Here is a 26,564-nt window from a genome sequence, read left to right on the forward strand (position 1 = left end):
GACCACTAACGTAGCTGCCTAATTGGTTCAGCTGTTTCCTCCTTACCAGTCTACAGAATCTTCCAAACACTGCAGCCAAAGTATCGTTTTAATATAAATTACTCCTTTGCTAAAATCCCTCTGGTATCTCTCCATATGATGCAGGATAAAAGTCCAAAGGCTTTACCAGAGATTACAAGGCACTACATAATTTGGCCCCAGCAATCTCTCTGACTTTATTGCTGTCCTTTCCCCCTCTTGTTCACCTTGTACTAGCCACATTGGTACATGTTATTCTTTGTAGATGTATATTTAGAAGTAATTTCTAAAAATATAAATAGTTTCCATGTATCACTTCCTGGAGCATAAAGATAGAATTAGATAGAAACTCTGCCTGGGTGCAGTGGCTTATGCCTGTAACCCCGTTGTTTTGGGAGGCCAAGGTAGGAGGATGGCTTGAGCTCAGTAGTTCGAGACCAGCCTAGGGAAAATAGTGAGACGCTATCACTACAAAAATTTTAAAAATTAGCCAACTGTGATGGTGTCTGCCTATGGTCCCAGCTAGTGGCGTGGGGGTGGACTGAGGTGAGAGGATCGCTGGAGCCTGGAAGAGTGAGGCTGCAGTGAACTGTGATCGTGCCACTGCACTCTTGCCTTGGCGACAGAGTGAGTCCTTCTCCACCCCCCACAAAAAAAAGAAAAAAGAAAAGAAAGAAAACTGAGTTTTCTACAAAAATATTGGCTGAAATTCCTGCGGATAAAAACAATAGTCATTATAATTGAAATTGTAGTCTCTGGAGAAATACAGTTTTTTTATACCTGCTTATACTTGAAAAATACAGTGATTAAATGTCACCCTTAAATTCTCTTAAGGATTTTGAAAAAATTTATTTAACCTATACATAACATACCATTGATAAAAACATAACACCAAAGACATTAATAAATTGATATTTTCTAAATAGAAACAGCTTATGAATATAAAATACTAACCTTGAATGTCTTTTAGTAACATTATCCAGTTTGAATTTTGGTAGTACATAGCAAAAATTGAGCTTGAGATGCAGTCTATTCTTCTCCTTTCTTGAAGTAAAATCATTGTCAAAACTAATAAAAGTGGATTTTACTTTATCTTCTGTTTAAATATAAACTTCATCAAAGTCTTTATAAAGGATTTTTTTAGCCCTTTAAAAATATTCCATTTTAATGCTGAACAAAATATTATAAAACTGAGGAGACAATTTTTTTTTTAACTTTAAGTTCTGAGATATATGTGCAGAACATACAGGTTTGTTACATAGGTATACATGTGTCACAGTGTTTTGCTGCACCTATCCACCTATCATCCAGCCAACATGCATTAGGTTTTAAGCCCAACATGCATTAGGTATTTGTCCTAATGAGCTCCCTTCACTTCCCCCCACTTCCCCTGAAAGGCCCTGGTGTGTGATGTTACCCTCCCTGTGTCCATGTGTTTTCATGGTCCAACTCCTGTTTATGAGTGAGAAGATGTGGTGTTTGGTTTTCTGTTCCTGTGTTAGTTTGCTGAGAATGATGGCTTCCAGCTTCAACCATGTCCCTGAAAAGGACATGAACTAATTTTTTTATGGCTGCATAGTATTCCATGATGTGTATATGTGCCACATTTTCTTTATCCAGTCTATCATTGATGGTCATTTTGGTTAGGTCTAAGTCTTTGCTACTGTAAACAGTGCTGCAATAAACATATGTGTGCATGTGTCTTTATAGTAGAATGATTTATAATCCTTTGGGTATATACCCAGTAATGAGATTGCTGGGTCAAATGGCATTTCTGGTTCCAGATCCTTGAGGAATAACCATTCTGTCTTCCACAATGGTTGAAGTAATTTACACTCCCACCAACAGTGTAAAAGTGTTCCTGTTTCTCCACATCCTTGCATCATGTGTTGTTTCCTGACTTTTTAATGATTGCCATTCTAACTGGCATGAAATTGTATCTCATTGTGGTTTTGATTTGCATTTCTCTAATGACCAGTGATGATGAGCTTTTTTTCATATGTTTGTTGGCCGTATAAATGTCTTCTTTTGAGAAGTGTATGTTCATATCCTTTGCCCACTTTTTGATGGGTTGGTTTGTTTGTTTTTCTTGTAAATTTGTTTAAGTTCCTAGTAGATTCTGGATATTAGCCCTTTGTCAGATAGATAGATTGCAAAATTTTTCTCCCATTCTGTAGGTTGCCTGTTCGCTCTATTGATAGTTTCTTTTGCTGTGCAGAAGCTCTTTAATTTAGTTAGAACCCATTTGTTAATTTTGGCTTTTGTTGAAATTGCTTTTGGTGTTTTAGTCATGAAGTCTTTGCCCATGCCTATGTCCTGAATGGTATTGCCCAGGTTTTCTTCTAACTTTTTCATGCTTTTAGGTTTTATGTGTAAGTTTTTAATCCATCTTGAGTTAATTTTTGTATAAGGTGTAAGGAAGGGGTTCAATTTCAGTTTTCTGCATATGGGATTTCCTTTTTCACTATACTGATTCTTCCTATCCGTAAGCATGGAATTTTTTTCCATTTGTTTGTGTCCTCCCTTATTTCTTTGAGCAGTGGTTTGTAGTTCTTGAAGAGGTCCTTCACATCCCTTGCAAGTTGGATTCCTAGGTATTTTATTCTCTTTGTAACAATTGTGAATGAAATTTCAGTCATGTTTTGGCTCTCTGCTTGTGTATTGCTGGTGTATAGGAATGCTTGTGATTTTTGCACATTTATTTTGTATCCTGAGACTTTGCTGAAGTTGCTTATGAGCTTAAGGAGTTTTGGGGCTGAGACGATGGGATTTTCTAAATATACAATCATGCCATCTACAAACAGGGACAATTTGACATCCTCTCTTCCTGTTCGAATACCCTTTATTTCTTTCTCTTGCTTGATTGCCCTGGCCAGAACTTCGAATACTATGTTGAATAGGAGTGGTGAGAGAGGACATCCTTGTCTTTGCCGGTTTTCAAAGGGAATGCTTCCAGCTTTTGCCATTCATTATGATATTGGCTATGGGTTCGTCATAAATAGCTCTTATTATTTTGAGATACGTTCCATCAATACCTAGTTTATTGAGAGTTTTTAGCATGAAAGGGTGTTGAATTTTATCAAAAGCCTTTTCTGCATCTATAGAGATAATCATGTGGTTTTTGTCATTGGTCAATTTATGTTATGGATTACATTTATTGATTTGCATATGTTGAACCAGCCTTGCATCCCAGGGATGATGCCAACTTGATCATGGTAGATAAGCTTTTTCGATGTGCTGCTGGATTCCGTTTGCCAGTATTTTATTGAGGATTTTTGCATCAATGTTCATCAAGGATATTGGCCTGAATTTTTTGTTGTTGTTGTGTCTCTGCCAGGTTTTGGTATCAGGATGATGTTAGCCTCATAACATGAGTTAGGCAGGAATCCCTCTTTTTTTATTTTTTGGAATAATTTCAGAAGGAATGGTGCCAGCTCCTCTTTGTACCTCTGGTAGAATTCGGCTGTGAATCCATCTGGTCCTGAACTTTTTTTGGTTGGTAGGCTATTAATTGCTGTCTCAATTTCAGAACTTGTTATTGGTTTTTTCAGGGATTCGACTTCTTCCTGGTTATTCTTGGGAAGGTGTATGTGCCCAGGAATTCATCTATTTCTTCTAGATTTTCTAGTTTATTTGCATAGAGGTGTTTATAGTATTCTCTGATTGTAGTTTGTATTTCTGTGGGATCAGTGGTGCTATCCCCTTTATCATTTTTTATTGTGTCTATTTGATTCTTCTCTCTTTTCTTCTTTATTAGTTTGACTAGTGGTCTATCTATTTTGTTAATCTTTTCAGATAATCAGCTCCTGGATTCACTGAGTTTTTGAAGGGTTTTTTGTGTCTCTATCTCTTTCAGTTCTGTTCTGATCTTAGTTATTTCTTGTCTTCTGCTAGCTTTTGAATTTGTTTGCTCTTGCTTTTTTAGTTATTTGAATTGTGATATTAGGGTGTTGATTTTAGATCTTTCCTGCTTTCTGATGTGGGCATTCAGTGCTATAAATTTCCCTCTTAACACTGCTTTAGCTAAGTCCCAGAGATTCTAGTACTTTGCCTTTTTTTTCTCATTGGTTTCAAAGAACTTATTTATTTCTGCCTTAATTTCATTATTTACCCAGTAGTCATTCAGGACCAGGTTGTTCAATTTCCATGTAGTTGTGTAGTTTTGAGTGAATTTCTTAATCCTGAATTCTAATTTGATTGCACTGTGTTCTGAGAGACTGTTTGTTATGATAGCCATTCTTTTGCATTTGCTGAGGAATGTTTTACTTCCAATTGTGTGGTTGATTTTAGAATAAGTGCCATGTGGCAGTGAGAAGAATGTATATTCTGTTGATTTGGGGTGGAAAGTCCTGTAGATGTCTATTAGGTCCACTTAGTCCAGAGCTGAGTTCAAGAGCTGGATATCCTTGTTAATTTTCTGTCTCGTTGATCTGTCTAATATTGACAGTGGGTTGTCAAAGTCTCCCACTTCTATTGTGTGGGAGTTTAAGTCTCTTTGTAAGTCTCTAAGAACTTTTTTTATGAATCTGGGTGCTCCTCTATTGGGTGCATATATATTTAGGATAATTAGCTCTTCTTATTGCATCGATCCCTTTACCATTATGTAACGCCCTTCTATGTCTTTTTTGATATTTGTTGGTTTAACATCTTTTTTATCAGAGACTAAAATTGCAACCCCTGTATTTTCTTGCTTTTCATTTGCTTGATAAATAGTCCTCCATCCCTTTATTTTGAGCCTATGTGCATCTTTGCACATGAGATAGGTGTCTTGAATATAGCACACCAATAGGTCTTGAGTCTTTTTGCAATTTGCCAGTATGTGTCTTTTAATTGGGACATTTAGCCCATTTAAGGTTAATATTGTTATGTGTGAATTTGATCCTGTCATCATGATTCTAGCTGGTTATTTTGCACATTAGTTGATGCTATTTCTTCACAGTGTCATTGGTCTTTATATTTTGGTGTGTTTTTGTAGTGGCTGGTACCATTTTTTGTTGTTGTTGTTGTTTTGTTTTTTTCCATATCTAGTGCTTCCTTCAGGAGCTCTTGTAAGGCATGCCTGGTGGTGACAAAATCGCTCAGCATTTGCTTGTCTGGAAAGGATTTTATTTCTCCTTCACTTATGAAGCTTAGTTTGGCTGGATATGAAATTGTGGGTTGCAAATTCTTTTCTTTAAGAATGTTGAATATTGGCTCCCACTCTCTTCTGACTTGGAGGGTTTCTGCAGAGAGAGCCACTGTTAGTCTGATGGGCTTCTCTTTGTAGGTAATCTGACCTTTCTTTCTGGCTGCCCTTAACATTTTTTCCTTCATTTCAACCTTGGAGAATCTGATGATTATGTATCTTGGGGTTGCTCTTCTCAAGGAGTATATTAGTCTGTATTTCCTGAATTTGAATGTTGGCCTGTCTTGCTAGGTTGGGGAAGTTCTCCTGGATAATATCCTGAAGTGTGTTTTCCAACTTGGTTCCATTCTCCCTGTCATTTTCAGGTACACCAATCAATCATAGGTTTGGTCTTTTCGCATAGTCCCATATTTCTTGGAAGCTTTACTTGCTCCTTTTTATTCTTTTTTTTTTTTTTTTTTTTTTTTTTGAGACAGAGTCTTGCTCTGTTGCCCAGGCTGGAGTGCAGTGGCATGATCTCAGCTCACTGCAAGCTTCGCCTTCCAGGTTCACACCATTCTCCTGCCCCAGCCTCCCAAGTAGCTGGGACTACAGGCACCCACCACCACACCTGGCTAATTTTTTGTATTTTTAGTAAAGACGAGGTTTCACTGTGGTCTCCATCTCCTGACTTCATGATCTGCTAGCCTCAGCCTCCCAAAGTGCTGGGATTACAGGCGTGAGCCACTGCACCTGGCCTTTTATTCTTTTTTCTCTAGTCTTGTCTTCACGCCTTATTTCAGTAAGTTGATCTTCAATCTCTGATATCCTTTCTTCCACTTGATCAATTTGGCCATTGATACTTGTGTATATTTCATGAAGTTCTTGTGCTGTGTTTTTCAGCTCCATCAGGTCATTAATATTCTTCTCTAAACTGGTTTTTCTAGTTAGCAGTTCCTGTAACCTTTTATGAAGGTTCTTAGCTTTCTTGCATTGGTTTAGAACATGCTCCTTTAGCTCAGAGGAGTTTGTTATTACCCCCCTTCTGAAGCCTACTTCTATCAATTCATCAAACTCATTCTCCATCCAGTTTTGAGCCCTTGCTGGAGAGGAGTTGCGATCATTTGGAGAAGAAAAGGCATTCTGGTTTTTGGAATTTTCAGCACTTTTGCACTGGTTTTCCCTCATCTTCGTGGTTTTATCTACCTTTGATCTTTGAGGCTGATGACCTTTCGATGGGGTTTTTGTGTGGGGGTCCTTTTTGTTGATGTTGATGTTATTGCTTTCTGTTTGTTAGTTTTTCTTCTAACAGTCAGGTCCCTCTGCTGCAGGTCTGCTGGAGTTTGTTGGAGGTCCACTCCAGACCCTGTTTGCCTGGGTATCACCAGCGGAGGCTGCAGAACAGGAAAGACTGCTGCATGGTCCTTCCTCTGGAAGCTTTGTCCCAGAGGGGCACCGGCCTGATGCTAGCCAGAGTTCTTCTGTATGAGGTAGCTGTCAACCCCTGCTGGGAGGTCTCTCCCCGTCAGGAGCCACGGGGGTCAGGAACCCACCTGAAGAGGCAGTCTGTCCCTTAGCAGAGCTCGAGCGCTGTGCTGGAAGAATCCTCCTTGTCAGGACCTGCTGCTGTCTTCAGAGCTGGCAGGCAGGAAGGTTTAATTCCACTGAAGCTGAGTCCACAGCCTCCCCTTCCCCCAGGTGCTCTGTCCCAGAGAGATGGGAGTTTTATCTCTAAGCCCCTGACTGGGGCTGCTGTGTTTCTTTCAGACATGCCCTGCCTAGAGAGGAGGAATCTAGAGAGGCAGTCTGGCCGCAGCCACTTTGCTGCACTGTGTTGAGCTCCACCCAGTCTGAACTTCCCGGCCTCCTTAGCATTGTCAGGGGAAAACCGCCTACTCAAGCCTCAGTAATGGCTGACGCCCCTTCCCCCCGACCAAGATGGGTCATCTCAGGTTGACTTCAGACTGCTGTGCTGGCAGTGAGAATTTCAAGCCAGTGGTTCTTAGCTTGATGGGCTTCATGGGAGTGGGACACACTGAGTGGGACACACTGAGTGAGACCACTTGGCTCCCTGGCTTCAACCCCCTTTCCAGGGGAGTGAACGGTTCTCTCTTGCTGGAGTTCCAGGTACCACTTAGTTGGTAATGCAGAAATCACTCACCTTCTGTGGTGGTCTCACTGGGAGCTACAGACAGGAGCTGTTCCTATTCGGCCATCTTGACAGATCCCCGATAAATGTCTTTATATAAAATTTTTTTATTTAAAATTTACCTGGTTTCTGCAATTGACCAATGGATCCAATATTAAAATTTATAAAATGAAATGGTAAAAGTACTAGATGATGATATTCTACTATTTGCAAACACCACCTTTCGTTTATCCATTCATCTGTAATAGACATTTCAATTGTTTCACCTTCCGGCCACTGTGAATAATGCTGTTATGAACATCAACAAATAAATATGTGTTTGAGTCCTTGCTTTTAATTCCTTTGTGTATATACTTAAAAATTGAATTGTTGGATCATAATATGGTTGGTTGTATGTTTAATTTTTTGAGGAACTGCCATCCTGTTTTCCACAGTGGCTGTACATCTTACATTTCCACTGGCAATGCCCACTGTTTCCAGTTTCTACACATCCTCTCTAATACTTATTATTCACTGTTTTTTGTTTTGTGTTCAGGACTCACACATAAATGGAATTTCTAATGTTCAAGGTTATTCACTGAAGCATTGTTTCTCTCAGGGACAAACAAATATAACACAATTGTCCATTAATGGTAGATTACTTAAATAAGTGGTTAGAATGTGTGTGCCCAATAATGTAGTTGTGGATCTGATACATTTATAATGTCAATGATTGACAAGGGGAAAGTAGCAAAAAATGAAAATGAAATTGGTTCTTAAATTATCTTAAGCTAATGCTAGAAACAAGAAATATGGAGAATTAGATATTTCTTTGAAAAAAATGTAAGAATTATAGATATTGTCTACAGTAGTGGCTACTCATTAGTCGAATGTAGACTTTCAGGAAGACTCCTTAAAGGGTGGGAGCAGCCTTGTTCTTGCATTCTCCTCTCTCGCTCGACAGAATGTAGATGGGTGCCTGGGCTAGAGCAGATATCTTAGATTGTGAAGCAATTCTCTTAGTATGATGAACCAGTGATATAGGAGGAGCCTAGGTCCCTGCTGATTATAGAATTTCCTGGAAATTTCTATGTTCTTCATGCCACTACTGTGTATTCTTTTTAAATATGGTGGAACAAAAGCTAAAAGAATATAGGAGCAAAGGTGAAAGCAGATTGACAGTTAGGAGGCCTATACAATAGTTCAAGTAAGAAGCAGCAACCAGGATTAAGAGGTAGTGGAATAACAATAGATGGTGAGATTCAGAGTATACTTTAAAGAACAATACAACAGAACTGGCTGGTGGATTGAATGCATACTAATTATTGAGATAGGAATGAAGCATACATCTCTATTTTTAGCTAGAATGAAGTTACTATTTACTAAGTTGGGAAAAATTGCATTTGGTGAAGCAGTGTTTTTTGTCTGCTTTTTTTAATTTTTGAAGGTCGGACCTAATCAAGACTATTTCGAGTATGTTAATTTTAGATGCTGTTATATTTTCATATTGAAATATGGTGGGGGCATTTGATAAATGATTCTGCATTTCGAGGGACAGAACTGGGCTGGAGATATATAATTATGGACTCATCAGATGTCAGGTAGGAAATATGTATAGATAAAGAAGAAATAAAAAGACTGAGCTGATGGGCACTCTGAAGTTTGCAAATTCAGAAGATAAGGAATCAGCAAAGAAAACTGAGAAGCAGCAGCCAGTGAGGTGTTTTAGCAGCAAAAGACTTGTTTCAAGAAGAATGGAGTGATCATTTGTGATAAATCCTGCTTTTAGGTCCAGTTAAATTAAATTAAAAAATTCAGGATTGGATTTGGCAATGTGAATGACAAGGATAGTCTTGTCAAGTGCTGTTTAAATAGAATAGTGATGAAAAGGACCTTACTGGAGTGGATTCAAGAAAGAGTGAGGAGATAGACATTAGAGATTCCTGGTACAGACAACTCTTTTTAGAGCCTTTGTTGTAAAGAGAAGCACAGAAATGAAGAGTTAGCTTTTTATCACTTTATTTTAGATAGGAAATACTATAACATATTTATGTGTTCGTGGGACAGATTCAGTAGAAAAGACCAGTAGAAAGCAAAAAAACAAGAGGGAGAAAAATCCATGTCCTATCTTTGAGTAGGTGACAAGGGACAGAATCCAGTACATAGATGGAGAGGCTGGCCTTTTGCATGAGTAAAAATAGTTCAACCAAAGGTTAGAGCAAACGTTTTTGCTTCAGAATTCATATCTTGTTGTTGGAGTGTTGGGACATTTTCTCCTAATTTCTTCAGTTTTTCAGTAAAATAATAGACAAAGTCATCAGTTGAGAGTGGGAGGATGGAGGAGATGTTAGAGGCTTGGGGATACACAAGAAGAACGTAAATAGAGAAAACAGTGTGAAGAGTGAATTGAACAAGATAAAATTAGTAGGAGGGTTGAAAGTTAGTAATCGTAAATGTAAGCTGGGACCAGTCAGCACTGTGGTGGGGTTTTTCTCCAGCTATATTCTCTCCTTGGGTGTAGGTGCAGAAAAGGTGGAGGGTTATATTTACCCAGGCTGGGAAACTTGGCCATGAGGATACAATGGAGGAAAGAAGAAAGAGGGAGTTACTAGTATATATAAGGAAATGGTTGTAATGATGAGCCATGGAATCTAAGTCAGGTAGAAGAGAAGTAAGGAATGAAAGAGGCAAAAAGGAGTAAAAAGGCATTAGAGTGAATGAATTGGAGGTTCGGTGGGGTTGCGGTTTTTAGATGTCAGAGATCTAGTGGGAACAAATTGAGAAGAGTAAAAGTGGTGGTCAGAGTGTGTGATGTTAAAAATTAATATTATAGAGAGGGTATTGCTATTGGTAATGGCAAAGTCCAGAGTACCACCAGAGAGTGGTTACCTGAGGCAGGTTGAAGCTAAGATTATTGGAGAAGAGGAAAAAAACCTAGTGGCCACAGTATTGGAAAAATGATCTATGTGGATATTGCAGTCACTTCTTGGTGACTGCAATTAGAGAGCAAACCAGGTGCCTAGAATATTTGTATTGGTCCATTCTCACACTGCTATAAAGAAATACCTGAGACTGGTAATTTATTAAAAAAGAGGTTTAGGGCTGGGCACAGTGGCTCACACCTGTAATCCCAGCACTTTGGGAGGCCGAGGTGGGTGAATCACCTGAGGTCGGAAGTTCAAGACCAGCCTGCCCAACATGGTGAAACCCCATCTCTACTGAAAGCACAAAATTTGTCGGGCATGGTGGTGCATGCCTGTACTCCCAGCTGCTCGGGAGGTTGAGGCAGGAGAATAACTTCAGCCTGGGAGGCGGAGGTTGCAGTGAGCCAAGATCATGCCATTGCACTCCAGCCTGGGCAACAAGAGCAAAACTCCATCTCAAAATAAACAAAAAGAAGAAAAAAAAAAAAGAAAAGAGGTTTAATTGGTTCACAGTCCTGTAGGCTGTATAGGAAGCATGGCAGCATGTGCTCAGCTTCAATCATGGCAGAAGGCAAAGGAGAAGCCAGTACTTCACATGGCGGGAGCAGGGGGGCGGAGAGAGAGCAGAGAGGTGCTACACACTTTTAAACAACTAGATCTCATGAGAACTCTATCACAACAGCAGCACTAGAAGGATGGTTTCTAAACCATTAGGAACCGCCCCCATGATCCAATTCCTCCCACCAGGCCCATCTCCAACATTGGAATTACAATTGAACATGAGATTTGGGTGGGGGAACAGATCCAAATCATATCAATATGCAAGTAGTTACAGAGTGATGTAGAAGTCATAGATGTCAAACTTCTCATTAATTCCTTAAAAATTGAACTGTCTTAGGTATGTGAATACACTGGAAACTTGAGACGATTTTATGTTTGATATAATATTAGTTGACTTTCCCTGTTTTTATTAAATGCTAACAAAATACTAGGCACTGAAGAAAGAAATATGTATAAGGATGGCACAGCCTCTGATATTAAGGAAATGACTCAATAGAGGCAACAAACTTGCAAACAAATGGCAATTCAGTGAAAATGCATTTCAACAATCTGAGAAACAATAACAACAAAAAATTATGTTGGTTATGAATTGCTGAAATGAAAGCCTCCTTGATCATATACAAGTCATCCCTGGATGCAGTTCCATTTTACACTGATTTTCTCAAAAATATCTAGTGAGTACTACATAAGACTGTACAAAGTGTGGTGGAAGATAGAATTATATATTAAATTCTAACTCTGTCTTTACATTGAATTATATTACGGTAGGTGTTGTCATACGTTAAATTCTCTGTCGTTAATTTTTTTTTCCAGACAATTTATTCAGGCAGTGCATGAGCTCGGATCACCTAGGGGCAAAGTTATTCTTTCATGTTACATCAAATTATCTGAGTCATGTAAGCATTTGTTTAAAGTCAGAGCTTCAGCTAAGAAAAATATCAAGGGAAAACAAAACTGGATACTGGATGCTGAAGACAGAGGATATTATCTAATATTCAGATTTTCTCTGAGAACTTAAAACAGGGTCAGTGTCAGTGGGATGTTGTTTTGTTTTTGTTTTGGGTGACTTTTTTTTTTGATCAAATAGTATTATCTGTCAGGGCATCTAATAATGTCTCTGGATGGCTGGTATTTACCTCCCTGTAACGATCATGACATGCTAGTGAATAACCAATTTCAAGAAGAGAACTTGCAGACTTTCTGAGAATATTTATCTCTCATCTTTTTGGTTGGAAGTTTATTATAATATCGCAGTTTACTTAAAGGAACTCAGTATCTACTGATTCTTTAATTCGTAGTAATAACTTGCTTGAATGATTTTTTTCACCTAAACATGTAACAATATATGTTAATATATTGAGTTGGGGATAATAATAGCACCTATCTCACTAGTTTATAGTGAACATTACGTAATTCATGTATAGCTGTGAAAAATGCTTAATATAAACTAACATTATTGTTATTATTGCCATCATAATTATTATTTTGACTACATAGCTGTTTTGTTTTGAAACGTCTAGTTGCAAGTAAATGGAACCCAACTAAGAGTAGTGCAAGCATGCAATGAAGCTTAATTGAATTTACAGAGACAGTGGAGTGACATAAGGGCTGGAATGGTATTAGGACTCAGAAGACAATGGGATTAGAATGAGGAGAACCATTAAAACTCCATTTAAGCATCTCTTTTTTTATTTCTGCACACCTGCATCTTTTTTTTTTTTTTTGGTCTCTACATAATGGCTGAAAGCAGAAATCTCTGCTTTTCATCCCTAAGGTGGAATGGCATTGCCATAGCCCCCGAATTTACTTGTTGAAGGTCCAGACACATGCAGGACTAACTAGCTGACTCTGAATTCCATTTCTACATAGTGGGGAAAGTGTAGTCAGTCCAATTTTGCTTAGTAATCATCTTCTGACCTTGTTAGGATTGAGGAGAAATTGATACAAGTTAAGAATGGTGGCCACCTCATCCTCATGATGCTTGGGCAGAAGAAAGATTATTATTAGTATGGCAAAAAAAGATCTACAACATACTCTTAATTTCTCAACACATATGTAAGTCTTTCTTTCTACCCAAAGGTATCCTATCCATGATCCAACTAACTTACGCATAACAACAAACTACTCAACGACTTCATAACTGGAGGAAACTGATCTTGTTTTGATCATAGGCCCACATAGGTCCAATTGCTCTACTTAAGATAAATGGAGATTTATCTGTGTCCAGAGATGTGTCAGGCTGGGACAAATAGATAGGGGTAAAGACATACTGTATGATTGACAGCCCCACTGGAATCACATGAATGGGGAAGGGATGGCTCCACAAAGGTAGAGTGTTTATAAGATATTTTCGAAGCCACTGCTATATTCCAACCCTAGCTGCCCAGCATTCACATTATGAGAAATTATTATATGTCTCCACCTAATAAGCTATAATAATTCCAAATACCACCAAATATATACTCAGTTCTTAAGGGAAATAAATCAGTATCATCTCCAGATAACATATCTACTGATCAGGTCCAGATGCAATCCTCTATGATGCATTTAACCACCCTAACACTTAAAACCCACCATGAAGGAAGGCAGAAAATCAAAAAAAAAAAAAAGGTAACTGCAATAGCTGTCTTATTTGTGAAGCAGAGAAGGAAAAATAACAAATAGCCATCCCTGAATCCTAGCATAAATCATATTCTATAGGAAGGGGTAGTAAGGATCCCTACCTTTGGCCATGGAGTAATTTCCAGGTTACATATCTGCCTCCTTTTCCTATGACTGCCAGGAGGATTGCCAGGGTTCATTTTCCTCCGTGGTCATAATCCAAAGCAGCATATGATAAGATTTCATCTGTAGAACTATAGTCTCTTAGTCCACCTATTTTCTGTGGATATGATTATAATAAACTGAGTGTTGAATTAATGGTTGAGCAAAAATAGATCTTTTTCAGGCTTGAGCGTTCTCTGACAATTACATTTTCTGAAGTACCCACTCTTTTGCTTGTTAATTTACTTCTGAAATCCCCAAAGGATAATAATCAGCATTAGAAATCTTGGATCTAGAGCACTGAATCTTAACCCCACAGGTGTATGTCTCAGTAATTGCCGTTAGTGCTCTGCTAGTCTCCTGAGGCCTCTGCTCACCGGCTTCCACTGTGCCCTCAGCTGAAGGTGGTGAAGGTGAACCGGTCTGTACCCTGTCCCGGTGCATCCCAGTAGAGAGTGCTTTACACTATCTACTACCTGAAGAGAGAGACTATTACCTCTGTCAGTCTGGGAACAAATATTAAGATGTGTTTGGAAGATAAAATATATGACTTAAGCTACTCCTGGATAGCAATCTTATTTTCTTTTTCTTTTTTTCTTTTCTTTTCTTTTCTTTTCTTTCTTTCTTTCTTCTTTCTTTCTTTCTTTCTTTCTTTCTTTCTTTCTTTCTTTCTTTCTTTCTTTCTTTCTTTCTTTTTTTAGATGGAGTCTTACTCTATTACCCAGGCTGGAGTGCAATGGCATGATCTCTGCTCAGTGCAACCTCCACCTCCCGGGTTCAACCGATTCTCCTGCCTCAGCCTCCAAAGTAACTGGGACTACAGGCAAATGCCACCATGCCCAGCTAATTTTTTGTATTTTTAGTAGAGACGGGGTTTCACCATGTTAGTCAGGATGATCTCAATCTCCTGACCTTGTGATCCGCCCGCCTCAGCCTCCCAAAGTGCTGGGATTACAGGCATGAGCCACCGTGCCTGGCCAGCAATCTTATTTTCTTACCTCCCTGATTTTGTCTGTTCTAACTTTTGCTTAGAAGCAAATGAGTTATTTTCTTTCAAAATTCACAAAGCACTGCTTTTCTGACTCTCAGCCATCTCAGATTCCTGTGTTGTGCTTTATTAACAAAGCTCTATATTGCTGTCTTTCTAATGGCAGATAACTGGCTTAAGAACCTCAGCATGACCACTTCTTGCAGGATCTTACTGGAAGCTGCTGAAAGTGAACAGTATTTGCCAACATTCTCATCTATTTCTTTTAGGTTCTCCAAAGTTCCACCTGAAGAAGGCATATCAGAAACATAACAAGCATTTCCAATCTCCAGTGCAGAGATACAGGGATCATTGCTGCCTACAAAGAAATCGGGACTCAGATAATTTCTCATTTCAAGATTTGTATCTGCAGTTTTACTTTTCAATATACCAATTTATACATTGAACTCTTTGGTTTACAGGGACAAAACCCAACTCATATCAGATTCCATTTATATATATATATATATATATATATATATTTTTTTTTTTTTTTTTTTTTTTTTTTTTTGAGACAGAGTCTCACTCTGTCACCCAGGCTGGAGTGCAGTGGTGCCGTCTTGCTCACTGTAACCTCCACCTCCCAGTTTCAAGTGATTCTCGTGCCTCAGCCTGCCCGGTAGCTGGGATTACAGGCATGAGCCACTGCACCTGGCCAGATTAAATTTAAAATGGGAACTGGGTTGATAGTTTTAGACTTGGCTCTATTCAAGACTCAATCAATGTAGTAAATTTTTTGTTCTCTCTCTCCCTTCTTTCCGCCCCCACCTTCCCCTCGCCCCATGGCCTATTTTTTTTAATAAGCTGGCTTCATTTTCTTTTTCTTTACACATTTTTCCTACATGCAGTTAAGAAAGATGGAAGCCAAGACTCCAGGCTACTAACCCCAGTTTAACAATCTTAGCAGAAAGACAGCCTCTAACTTCTTGAATTACAGTATGATATATTGATACAGTTTTTAAAAATTATCCATTTGTAAAATTAACAATTTTTTGTAATTGTACACATGTATGGCATACAATTTGATGTTTCAGTGCAAACATTGCATGATCTTAGTTATATGTGGAATCTAAAAAATAACAACTGATATCATAGAAGCAGAGAGTAGAACAACTGATATCATAGAAGCAGAGAGTAACCAGTCACTGGAGAGAGGAGGGGGAAAAGGAGGAGGAGGGAAGGATGAAGAGAGGTTGGCCAATGTGTGCAAAGTTGTAATTAGATAGAAGGAATAAATATGGTGTTCTATTGCACAGTAGGGTGACTACAGTTAACAGTAAAACATTGATATCATTTTAAACTCCACAAAATAATACTATATATTCTTTTTTGTTTGTTTGTTTTTTGAGACGGAGTCTTGCTCTGTCACCCAGGCTGGAGAGCAGTGGTGCGATCTCAGCTCACTGCAACTTCCGCCTTCTGGGTTCAAGCGATTCTTCTGCCTTAGCCTCCCAAGTAGCTGGGACTACAGGTGTGCACCACCACGCCTGGCTAATTTTTGTGTTTTTAGTAGAGACGGGGTTTCACCATATTGGCCAGGCTGGTCTCGAACTCTTGACCTCATGATCTGCCCACCTCAGCCTTCCAAAGTGCTGGGATTACAGGTGTGAGCCACCACACCCAGCCAATACTATATATTCTTTATGAATGTCTTCATATGTTAAAAAAAGTTTCATAACTGACATGGGAATAATAAACATTAAATTGAGCAGAGTGATTACTTCTGCAGGACCATAGGTGAGTGAGCTGCAGTGGGGTACATAGGAAGCTTAGCTGTGTTGGTAATATTTTATTTCTTAAACTAGTTGGTGGTTATATGGATTCTTGTTACATGATTTTTTGTACATTTAAGTATGGCCAAAATATTTTATAAGTTTAAAAAAGAAAAAAACCCAATTGTTATTAATGTTGGGATTTGGATTCCAGAGACAATCTCAGATTGGCCCTGTCTGGATGATTCAAGCATCCTAATCCTTTATTTCTTCCCAGTAAAACGTGAATGGCTAGGTCATGCGCTGATCACTGTGGCTGTGGGACGGTTAAGGACATATTGTGGTTTCCAGCTCCATTACATACAAAAGGAATAGGAAAATATTACTTTTTAAAGACAGGGATGTTGGCTACAAAAAACCAACTGAGGGCCATTTTAGTCTGGGTTAATTTTCCCTAAGCGAAGCTCGTTCCTTTCTCCAGTTTATTCTCAATCTGTCCAGGTATAGACTCTTACCACATTGTAAACTGTGCCCTAAAATTTTAAATGTAACCATGGCCAACGCACCTGATAAACAATGGTGGTGAAAAAAAAATGCTTTTTATTTTTTTGGAGACAGAGTCTCACTCTGTCGCCCAGGCTGGAGTGCAGTGGCACAATTTCGGCTCACTGCAAGCTCAGCCTTCTGGGTTCACGCCATTCTCCTGCCTCAGCCTCCCGAGTATCTGGGACTACAGGGGCCCGCCACCATGCCCGGCTAACTTTTTTTTGTGTTTTTAGTAGAGACAGGGTTTCACCTTGTTAGCCAGGATGGTCTCGATCTCCTGACCTTGTGATCCGCCCGCCTCGGCCTCCCAAAGTGCTGGGATTACAGGCGTGAGCCACTGCGCCCGGCCTGCTTTTTTTTTAAATGACATACATCTCAGTCTTTTCCTTGGGTGGTGCTGTTCAAAGCTCCTCCCAAGAGGAGCATGAGGAAGGTTTCTGTGAGTGGGGGTGTGTGTTTGCACACACACATAGGTATGAAAACACCACTTACTTCTTAGTAGTGTTTAAATTTGGATCTGAGGGTAACCCAAGTGGCTAACACTTCCCTTACTATTTATTACCATGGGTCACTATTCTTTAGAATTTCACACCATCTTAAAGCTCTTGTGTTTGCTGTGTTTTGATTTCATTTTGGGGGACTTGGTTTGCTAAAAACAAACAAACAAACCAACAAACAAAACATTTCCGTAAGACACTGTCTGTAAAGACACTCCCCAACCCTTATTCTACCATGAAAACTCCCTGCTTGTGATGATGAGCTATGGAGAGTACTCAACCATCCTCATATTTTTCTGTTGATTAAGCTCAGCCACAGACCACAGATAGGTAACAATGACCATAGGTGGGTAACAATGGGATGAGGAAGGAGCCTTGCTTACCATGACCTTGTCCTGGCTCTTTCTCCTGACAATGTAGTGATGGGATGAGTTTCACAAGGTAATGAAGAAATTATTATTACTGGGAGCAAATGTTAGAGGATTGTTCTAAAGACATTCAGGTTGGAGGTAGGAAGGATGGTCAAGTTTGATATGTATACATCCAATATTAAGATTCTGTAGTTTTTCAGTCAGCATCAATCTTATCCATAGTTCCAGTTGAATCTACCTGCTGCAATTCATTTGATTCATGATTATTATTATTATTATTATTATTATTATTATTATTTTTGCCTGGACCTCAAATATTTTAAATCAGTGACACAGCTATTTTTATTTTTTATTTTTATTTATTTATTTTTTTAAATTACAATTGAGCACAGGATTGGAGCACATTCTAGGCTAAAATGAAATATATCAGGGCGCAAACAACACACTCTCACATTTGCAGATATTTGCTACTATTTCTACAAAAGTTTCATCATTGGTAAGCATTCAGCCTAAGTATTAAGAACGAACAGATAAAAGCTTATTCAAAAACATCACTGTATAGTAGACTACCAATTTCTCCCCTGGAGTGGGAAAACCTTTCTGCACCTGAACCTTGCCTAATTTAGCCAGTTCCATATTTTCTGAGGGTCTATTATTCTCAGCACTTCACATGATACTAAAATAGGTTATTAGCTAGAATTCTTTCGAACACAAGTAACAGACACCCATTTGTGTTTACAAATATAGGAATGGAAAAATGTGTTATGAGGATGTATGCATATCTCATCTCCCAGAGCCTACGGACAGGATCACATCCAAGCCTCATGCAGAACCTGGAGCTACAAAATGAAAAGCAATTAGGACTCGGTTTCATTTTTTGTCTTTTCTTTGCCCTGTGCCTTTGTGTCCTTGTCCTCTTTTCAGATCAGTGTTCTTTGCTTTTCTATCTGCATGACTACATATAGTTACTGCACAGTTTGATTTTATAGCTTCAGACACATGCTGAAGTTGTCTCCAAATTCCAAGGGAAAATCTGATTGGCTTAATTGAACATAAATACCTTCACCTTGTCCACAGGTTGTGCTAAGTGAAAACTTAATTTGGGGGGAATTATTTTGAAATATCAGCTGGTCTCTTTAGAACATGGTCATTCAAGATAAACCATTATAAAGGAATTTTTGCCACTTAGAGAAAAAAGACTATGTTTCTGTCTAATTCATCTTAGAGCTGATCTTGGCTTCAATGTTTGAAATAGGTGTGGAATGTCTGCAGTAATGATAACCATAGTAATACTGGACTTTTGTATGATAATTGCAGGTTTTACAAGCTACCCAACATCTTTTTGAGGTTAGTCAGTATTATTATAATTATGCTAGATTTAGGGATATGGATATGGAGACATAGAAATTGAAGTTGCTATGCTAAATGGTCATAACAAATCTCAAAAAACTCAGAATTTAAATTAAAATCAACTGGCTCTAAAACTTGGGCTCAAATTTAGTAATGGTATTGGAGTTCAAGTTCTATTCCATCTGGATTTTAATTTTCTTCTTACCATTTCTCATTCCAAATGCTCTAATGGCCCAGCCAATTTTCATAATAGATTCTTTTTTTTTTTTTTTCTGAGACGGAGTCTCGCTCTGTCACCCAGGCTGGAGTGCAGTGGCGTGATCTCGGCTCACTGCAACCTCTGCCTCCCGGGTTCACGCCATTCTCCTGCCTCAGCCTCCCAAGTAACTGGGACTACAGGTGCCCACCACCACGCTTGGCTAATTTTTTTTGTATTTTTAGTAGAGACGGGGTTTCACCATGTTAGCCAGGATGGTCTCGATCTCCTGACTTCGTGATCCGCCCGCCTTGGCCTCCCAAAGTGCTGGGATTACAGGTGTGAGCCACTGCACCCGGCCCTCAGTAATTTTTATAGCAACACAAAGAATGGCCTAACACTTTAGGAAGAAAAAGTACGTAGAAGCTTGTAAACCTAGAATTGAGAGTCTAAGAAACCAGGAGGCTTTCCTGTGAGATAGTTAAGCTAAACTGTGAAGGAAGAGTTCATAGTAGATTTTTTTTTAATATACAAGGATGTTGATGGCAATATTGTGAATAGTAGAAAAAATAATCTGGATATAAAATTCTAATCAATTAGACAGTGTGCTACATATATAATATATCCTCACCAAGGGGTATTATGCACCCATTCAAATAAACAATTAGAACTCTGTCTTTTGACATGGAGGGATTTCCATGAAGTAATGAGAAGTGAGAAAAGAAGCATGCATTTTAAAAAGCACAGGAATAGTTCCAGAGAGAGCATTCCTCAAGAAAAAGAGAGAGGAAGTAGTGTAAAGATGAGCTTCCTAGGCATAAGGAACAGCATGTGCAAATGCCCCAAGGAAGAAGATGGCCTGGTGAAATACAGTAATTGAAAGGAGAGTAAAGAGGCTGGAGCTCAGAAAATGAGGTCAGGGGCTATAGGACAAGGAGAGGTGGGAGGGATACCAGGTGAAATAGAGAAGTAGATAGGTCAGAGCATATATTTGAGAAAGCCATATCAAGAACTTTGTTGTTATCCTTCAGTAAATGTTTTATACCTTGAACTATTGCCTTTTCTAACACTTAGTGATTGCACGTCATTTAACACTTAGTGATTGCTGGGAGAGCTCTGCAGAGTATTCACTATATTTTAGAATCAATGACACTATACCTGGCACAAAGGAAATTCTTTTTTTTTTTTTTTTTTATTATACTCTAAGTTTTAGGGTACATGTGCACATTGTGCAGGTTAGTTACATACGTATACATGTGCCATGCTGGTGCGCTGCACCCACTAATGTGTCATCTAGCATTAGGTATATATCCCAATGCTATCCCTCCCCCCTCCCCCGACCCCACCACAGTCCCCAGAGTGTGATATTCCCCTTCCTGTGTCCATGTGATCTCATTGTTCAATTCCCACCTATGAGTGAGAATATGCGGTGTTTGGTTTTTTGTTCTTGCGATAGTTTACTGAAAATGATGGTTTCCAATTTCATCCATGTCCCTACAAAGGATATGAACTCATCATTTTTTATGGCTGCATAGTATTCCATGGTGTATATGTGCCACATTTTCTTAATCCAGTCTATCATTGTTGGACATTTGGGTTGGTTCCAAGTCTTTGCTATTGTGAATAGTGCCGCAATAAACATACGTGTGCATGTGTCTTTATAGCAGCATGATTTATAGTCCTTTGGGTATATACCCAGTAATGGGATGGCTGGGTCAAATGGTATTTCTAGTTCTAGATCCCTGAGGAATCACCACACTGACTTCCACAATGGTTGAACTAGTTTACAGTGCCACCAACAGTGTAAAAGTGTTCCTATTTCTCCACATCCTCTCCAGCACCTGTTGTTTCCTGACTTTTTAATGATTGCCATTCTAACTGGTGTGAGATGATATCTCATAGTGGTTTTGATTTGCATTTCTCTGATGGCCAGTGATGATGAGCATTTCTTCATGTGTTTTTTGGCTGCATAAATGTCTTCTTTTGAGAAGTGTCTGTTCATGTCCTTCGCCCACTTTTTGATGGGTTTGTTTGTTTTTTTCTTGTAAATTTGTTTGAGTTCATTGTAGATTCTGGATATTAGCCCTTTGTCAGATGAGTAGGTTGCGAAAATTTTCTCCCATGTTGTAGGTTGCCTGTTCACTCTGATGGTAGTTTCTTTTGCTGTGCAGAAGCTCTTTAGTTTAATTAGATCCCATTTGTCAATTTTGGCTTTTGTTGCCATTGCTTTTGGTGTTTTGGACATGAAGTCCTTGCCCACGCCTATGTCCTGAATGGTAATGCCTAGGTTTTCTTCTAGGGTTTTTATGGTTTTAGGTCTAACGTTTAAAGTTCATATGGAACCAAAAAAGAGCCCGCATTGCCAAGTCAATCCTAAGCCAAAAGAACAAAGCTGGAGGCATCACACTACCTGACTTCAAACTATACTACAAGGCTACAGTAACCAAAACAGCATGGTACTGGTACCAAAACAGAGATATAGATCAATGGAACAGAACAGAGCCCTCAGAAATAATGCCGCATATCTACAACTATCTGATCTTTGACAAACCTGAGAAAAACAAGCAATGGGGAAAGGATTCCCTATTTAATAAATGGTGCTGGGAAAACTGGCTAGCCATATGTAGAAAGCTGAAACTGGATCCCTTCCTTACACCTTATACAAAAATCAATTCAAGATGGATTAAAGGAAATTCTTAATACATTCTAGTTTTCCACTTCACCTTGTCCCCTTTCCAGTCGTTTTCTCCCATGAATGCATACAATATGGTTCTATAGTTCTCAACTCCCAGGCTCAATGCCCCTTCTTGGTTTTAAAGAAATATTTTGTAACATTGTCTTGCTACACTAAAACAATGAAATTTATTAATAATGTAATTTAACCTACATATAACTTTTAAAAGTAATGTTATGTCCTGATTATAAAGTAAATAAAAGGAATTTATAAAAATGCTATTTGTTGTAGTATATAAACATTCATACACAAATATACCAGAAGGCAGAAGAAGCTGTGAGATGTGAGATGACTGACCTACAGATGCTAAGGAAGACTGATGAGTTTTATTATATCTCTGAAGCAGTTACGTAGTGCTGTGATCTACAAAATGATGAATAATTCTTAGCAGATGTCTATGTTAAGCAAAATATATTGTAATTGGATTCCTATAATTCAGTATACATTAAAACTGTGCCAAACATTTCTTGTACTTGTATGTAAAACAGAGAGAAGCTCTGAACTTAGGCAATTATAAATGAATTTTTCACCTTCATTTTGTCTGGCAGGACTGCTGTTATTTGCCCAAGACATCAGATAATTTTCCATTATGATGGATACATCACAGGACATTGTCATTCCCTGCCCACCAAATACCAGTACAGCCCTCAATCATCGTAACATTTTCCAAATGTTCCTTATCAGTTGGTCCACTGAGAGCCACTGATCTGATTGGAAAACAAGACGCTGGAAATGTCACATTGTACCAGGAGACTTCAATAACAGCTGAAAAAAAAACAATAAAAGGGATGTTATAAAGTCACATGTAGATGGCAGAAAAAATACTAAAGGGATTAAGTCTTAGGCATTTTAAGTAGCCCACACCAGTCAAAGCTGGAATAAGACAATGTGGAAATAGATTTTGAACAATGACTAACCTGAAGTGAGACAGAGGAACAAGGGAGGCATTTTAGGCTGGAGGTCCACTGAGCAGAGGTGGGCAAAGGTGTGATGTACAAATAAACATGATATGTCTGGGAGCCAGTGATACAGAATTTCAGACATCTTCAAATTAGGCCTTCCAGAAAGGCAGTTGGAGTTGGCAGTTTACTCTTGCTTCATTTTTGTTGTTGTTTTCTCTTTTTCTCTGTCTTAATTATAAAAAATACAAGTTATATCCCAGACCTCAGTTGAAGTTTGTGAAATCCAGTCCAGATAGTGACTCTAAGGACACCAAAAATGATTACTACTGATGTGTGTTTTTAATAATTCCTACAACATATAGTAGCAATGGATGTCTATGATTATGTTAGCAATGTTGGTGATAAAGACCTTTCCATATTGCTATGATAAAATACTTTTGAAGATGGCTATTCATATTCATCCATAACAATGATAAGTAACGAATGACTTCAGAAGTTACATTTAATATTTTCAAAGATGTTAAATATGGACAATTCTCATGTCTTAACAAATACTAATAACAAAAGATGAATGAATATTTTAAAAATTGAATAATTAAAATAATCAGTACTTTGTATCAAATAGATTCTATTAGCTCACGCTATGTTCTGTTTTTACACCTAATGGCATGATTATGCAATTTACCAGTAAATACCAGCATGGTTTTTAACGTTATTTATGTGTATTATGAAAAATGTAAGCAACCTAATATTTTCATGTGTTTGATCTGCCCAAGAGAAAGAGGAAATGCATTCATCAGAGAATAGGATCTAATGAGTTTAGCAATTTAAAAATTAAGAACCATGATTTTCTGCTATTTTAATTAAGTCATTTTATATCTCTTTAACTCATTCTCTAAAATAATTTGTTACAATTATCTAACCTTTTACAAATATTTGCAAATTAAAAGAAATAATTACCCAGTACTACACCATAATTTTGAAGAATGGATGAAGCACACAGTATGATAATGTGTTTTTCATCCTTCTAAAGGAACTTGGTGATGACCAAAACAGGAAAAAATTCTTAATCTACAAATCTATTGAATTTTATTACATTTGTTTCCACACCTCTTTTCACAAATGTTTGTACCATCTTTTTGAACTTTAACTGGTCTTTAATTAGTTCTCTATACACCAATGAACACACAAACACAAGTCAAGGAATCAAATTAACACAGGATTCCTAGTTATATTACCTGCTATGCTTTATTAGTCTTTCTATCCTCTGCCCCAACCAATGCTTGGCACAATGCCTTTTCTTTAGAAAGCCCTCAATAAATGTATTTATGACACTTACATAATACTTTATGTAACAATTTAAATGTGAGAGATATATAAAATGATTATGAAGTTCATTTCAATAATTTTCACAGTAGTCTTACATGAAATGTCATAAGACAATTAAACTAATGTGATGATTCATCTGGCCATAGGTTTAGCCAACACTGACAGAAATTTTGCTTGGTAACTTCCCCAAAGTACTTGGGGAAAATATTTTTTGTTGTTGTTGCTTTTTATTTTTTTCTTGAGACGAAGTCTCACTCTATTGCCCAGGCGCCCAGGCTCCCAGGCTGGAGTGCAATGGTGCGATCTCAGCTCACTGTAACCTTTGCTTCCCGGGCTCAAGCGATTCTCCTGCCTCAGCCTCCTCAGCAGCTGGGATTACAGGCACGTTCTACCACTTCTGGCTAATTTTTAGTAGAGATAGGGTTTCACCATGTCTGCCAGGCTGGTCTCGAACTCCAACACTTGGCCTCCCAAAGTGTTGGGATTACAGGCGTGAGCCACCACACTCGGCTGTGAAAATGTTTTTGAGAGACACATCCATTTTCTTATTGTTAGATATGACATTCTTTCTGTAGTAAAGGCTTTATCTGCCTGAAAACCATTGTCTTGAACTGAACATACATCCTAAAGCTCTTGAAGGAACTAGAATCTTAGTGCTCTTTTTGTGTACAAATAATGACTGAGACCTGGTAACTAACTGAAATAGCTTCACATACTTCTCATACTTATCATACTTCTAAGGATTTTTGAAGAACATCTTTGTTAAAAACAAATCAACAATTGAAAAGAAACATGTCATTCAGAGTATGATTTCCTTCTTTCCCAATAAAATTAGTTGCTTCTTCTCTTCTATAACTCCTGTCTGTTTCATTGTTATCTATATTTATGTGTATATATATTATTTTCTGGATTATTGTACTTCACATATATTTTATCTTATCAATTAAATTGTAAGTACTGGCCGGGCATGGTGGCTCATACCTGTAATCCAAGCACTTTGGGAGGCTGAGGCGGGTGGATCACAAGGTCAGGAGTTTGAGACCATCCGAGCCAATATGGTGAAATCCTGTCGCTACTAAAAATATAAAAATTAGCCAGGCGTGGTGGTGCATGCCTGTAGTCCCAGCTACTCAGGAGGCTGAGGCAGAAGAATCACTTGAACCCGGGAGGCGGAGGTTGCAGTGAGCTGAGACCGTGCCACTGCACTCCAACCTGGGCAACAGTGAGACTCCCCCTCAACAAAAAAAAAAAAAAAAAAAAAAGAATTATAAGTACTTTGAGGGCAGGAAAAAATACCTGATTGCTTTTGAACCCCCTTGTATATTTGAACTCAATATGGGAGGCAAATACATGCCTGTTAAGTGTAACTTCGTATTTCCACTGATTTGTTTAGACTTTAGATTAAATATTATAGAATGAGGGTAAAGATGCAAATGAAGATTGAGTTGACTTGTAGTTTTTAAAAGCCTTTTTTTTTTTTTTTTTTCTTAAAGACGGAATCTCGCTCTGTCTCCAGGCTGGAGTGCAGTGGCACGGTCTGAGCTCACTGCAATCTCCACCTCCCGGGTTCAAGTGATTCTCTTGCCTCAGCCCCCCAAGTAGCTGGGATTACAGGTGTGCACCACCACACCCAGCTAATTTTTGTATTTTTAGTACAGATGAGGTTTCACTATATTAGCCAGGATGGTCTCAATCACCTGACCTCGTGATCCTGCCACGGCCTCCCAAAGTGCTGGGATTACAGGTGTGAGCCATTAGTGTAATCTTCCCATCCATCCTGTTAGCTACTTTTAAAGTATTAACTGTAAAAGTCTAGTTTTAGTTTCTGTCTTAAATATAACCTATCCATTTAAAAAATAATACAGTTGAGAATTTATTAGGCATACTTATCATATGGAGAGACTGAGGTTTTATATCTCCCTTCCCATATCATCTGGACCTTGTTCATTACCCATTATTCTTTCTATTCTCTGCTATTTCCTTTCCAACACATTTACAGAAAGATTCCCAACAACTTGAAAACAACCTTTCACATGATCCTGCTCCTGCCTCTTCCTACTTTTCACATACATGGCCATTTTATTTCTTTCTTTCCCTCTACTGATGACTTTTGGCAGCTTGAAAACACTTAGGTTATAACTTGGGCAACATGGTGAAACCCTGTCTCTATTAAAAAAAATACAAAAATTAGCTGGGTTTGGTGGTATGCACCTGTAATCCCAGCTACTAGGGAGGCTGAGGTGGGAGAGTTGCTTGAGCTGAAAAGTTGGATGTTGCAGTGAGTTGAGACACTACACTCCAGCCTAGGGGGCAGAGCAAGATCCTGTTTCAAAAAAAGGAAAGAAAGAAAAGAAAACCTAGTTATTTCTTTCACTTTCAATTCTACATCCATTCTATCTGAT

General features: G+C 38.4%; 2 annotated features.

The window, feature by feature from the left end:
• Positions 6,212-6,712: an enhancer, noted in NCBI's record as "H3K4me1 hESC enhancer chr6:54688802-54689302 (GRCh37/hg19 assembly coordinates)". NCBI's record gives its function as "activates a minimal SCP1, AML or CMV promoter by ChIP-STARR-seq in naive H9 embryonic stem cells {active_cell/tissue: H9 hESC(naive)}" and the evidence as "EXISTENCE:reporter gene assay evidence [ECO:0000049][PMID:30033119]".
• Positions 6,713-7,213: an enhancer, noted in NCBI's record as "H3K4me1 hESC enhancer chr6:54689303-54689803 (GRCh37/hg19 assembly coordinates)". NCBI's record gives its function as "activates a minimal SCP1, AML or CMV promoter by ChIP-STARR-seq in naive and primed H9 embryonic stem cells {active_cell/tissue: H9 hESC(naive and primed)}" and the evidence as "EXISTENCE:reporter gene assay evidence [ECO:0000049][PMID:30033119]".

The sequence above is a fragment of the Homo sapiens genome, chromosome 6 (assembly GCF_000001405.40).
Source record: "Homo sapiens chromosome 6, GRCh38.p14 Primary Assembly".
In the NCBI taxonomy this organism is placed as follows: Eukaryota; Metazoa; Chordata; class Mammalia; order Primates; family Hominidae; genus Homo; species Homo sapiens.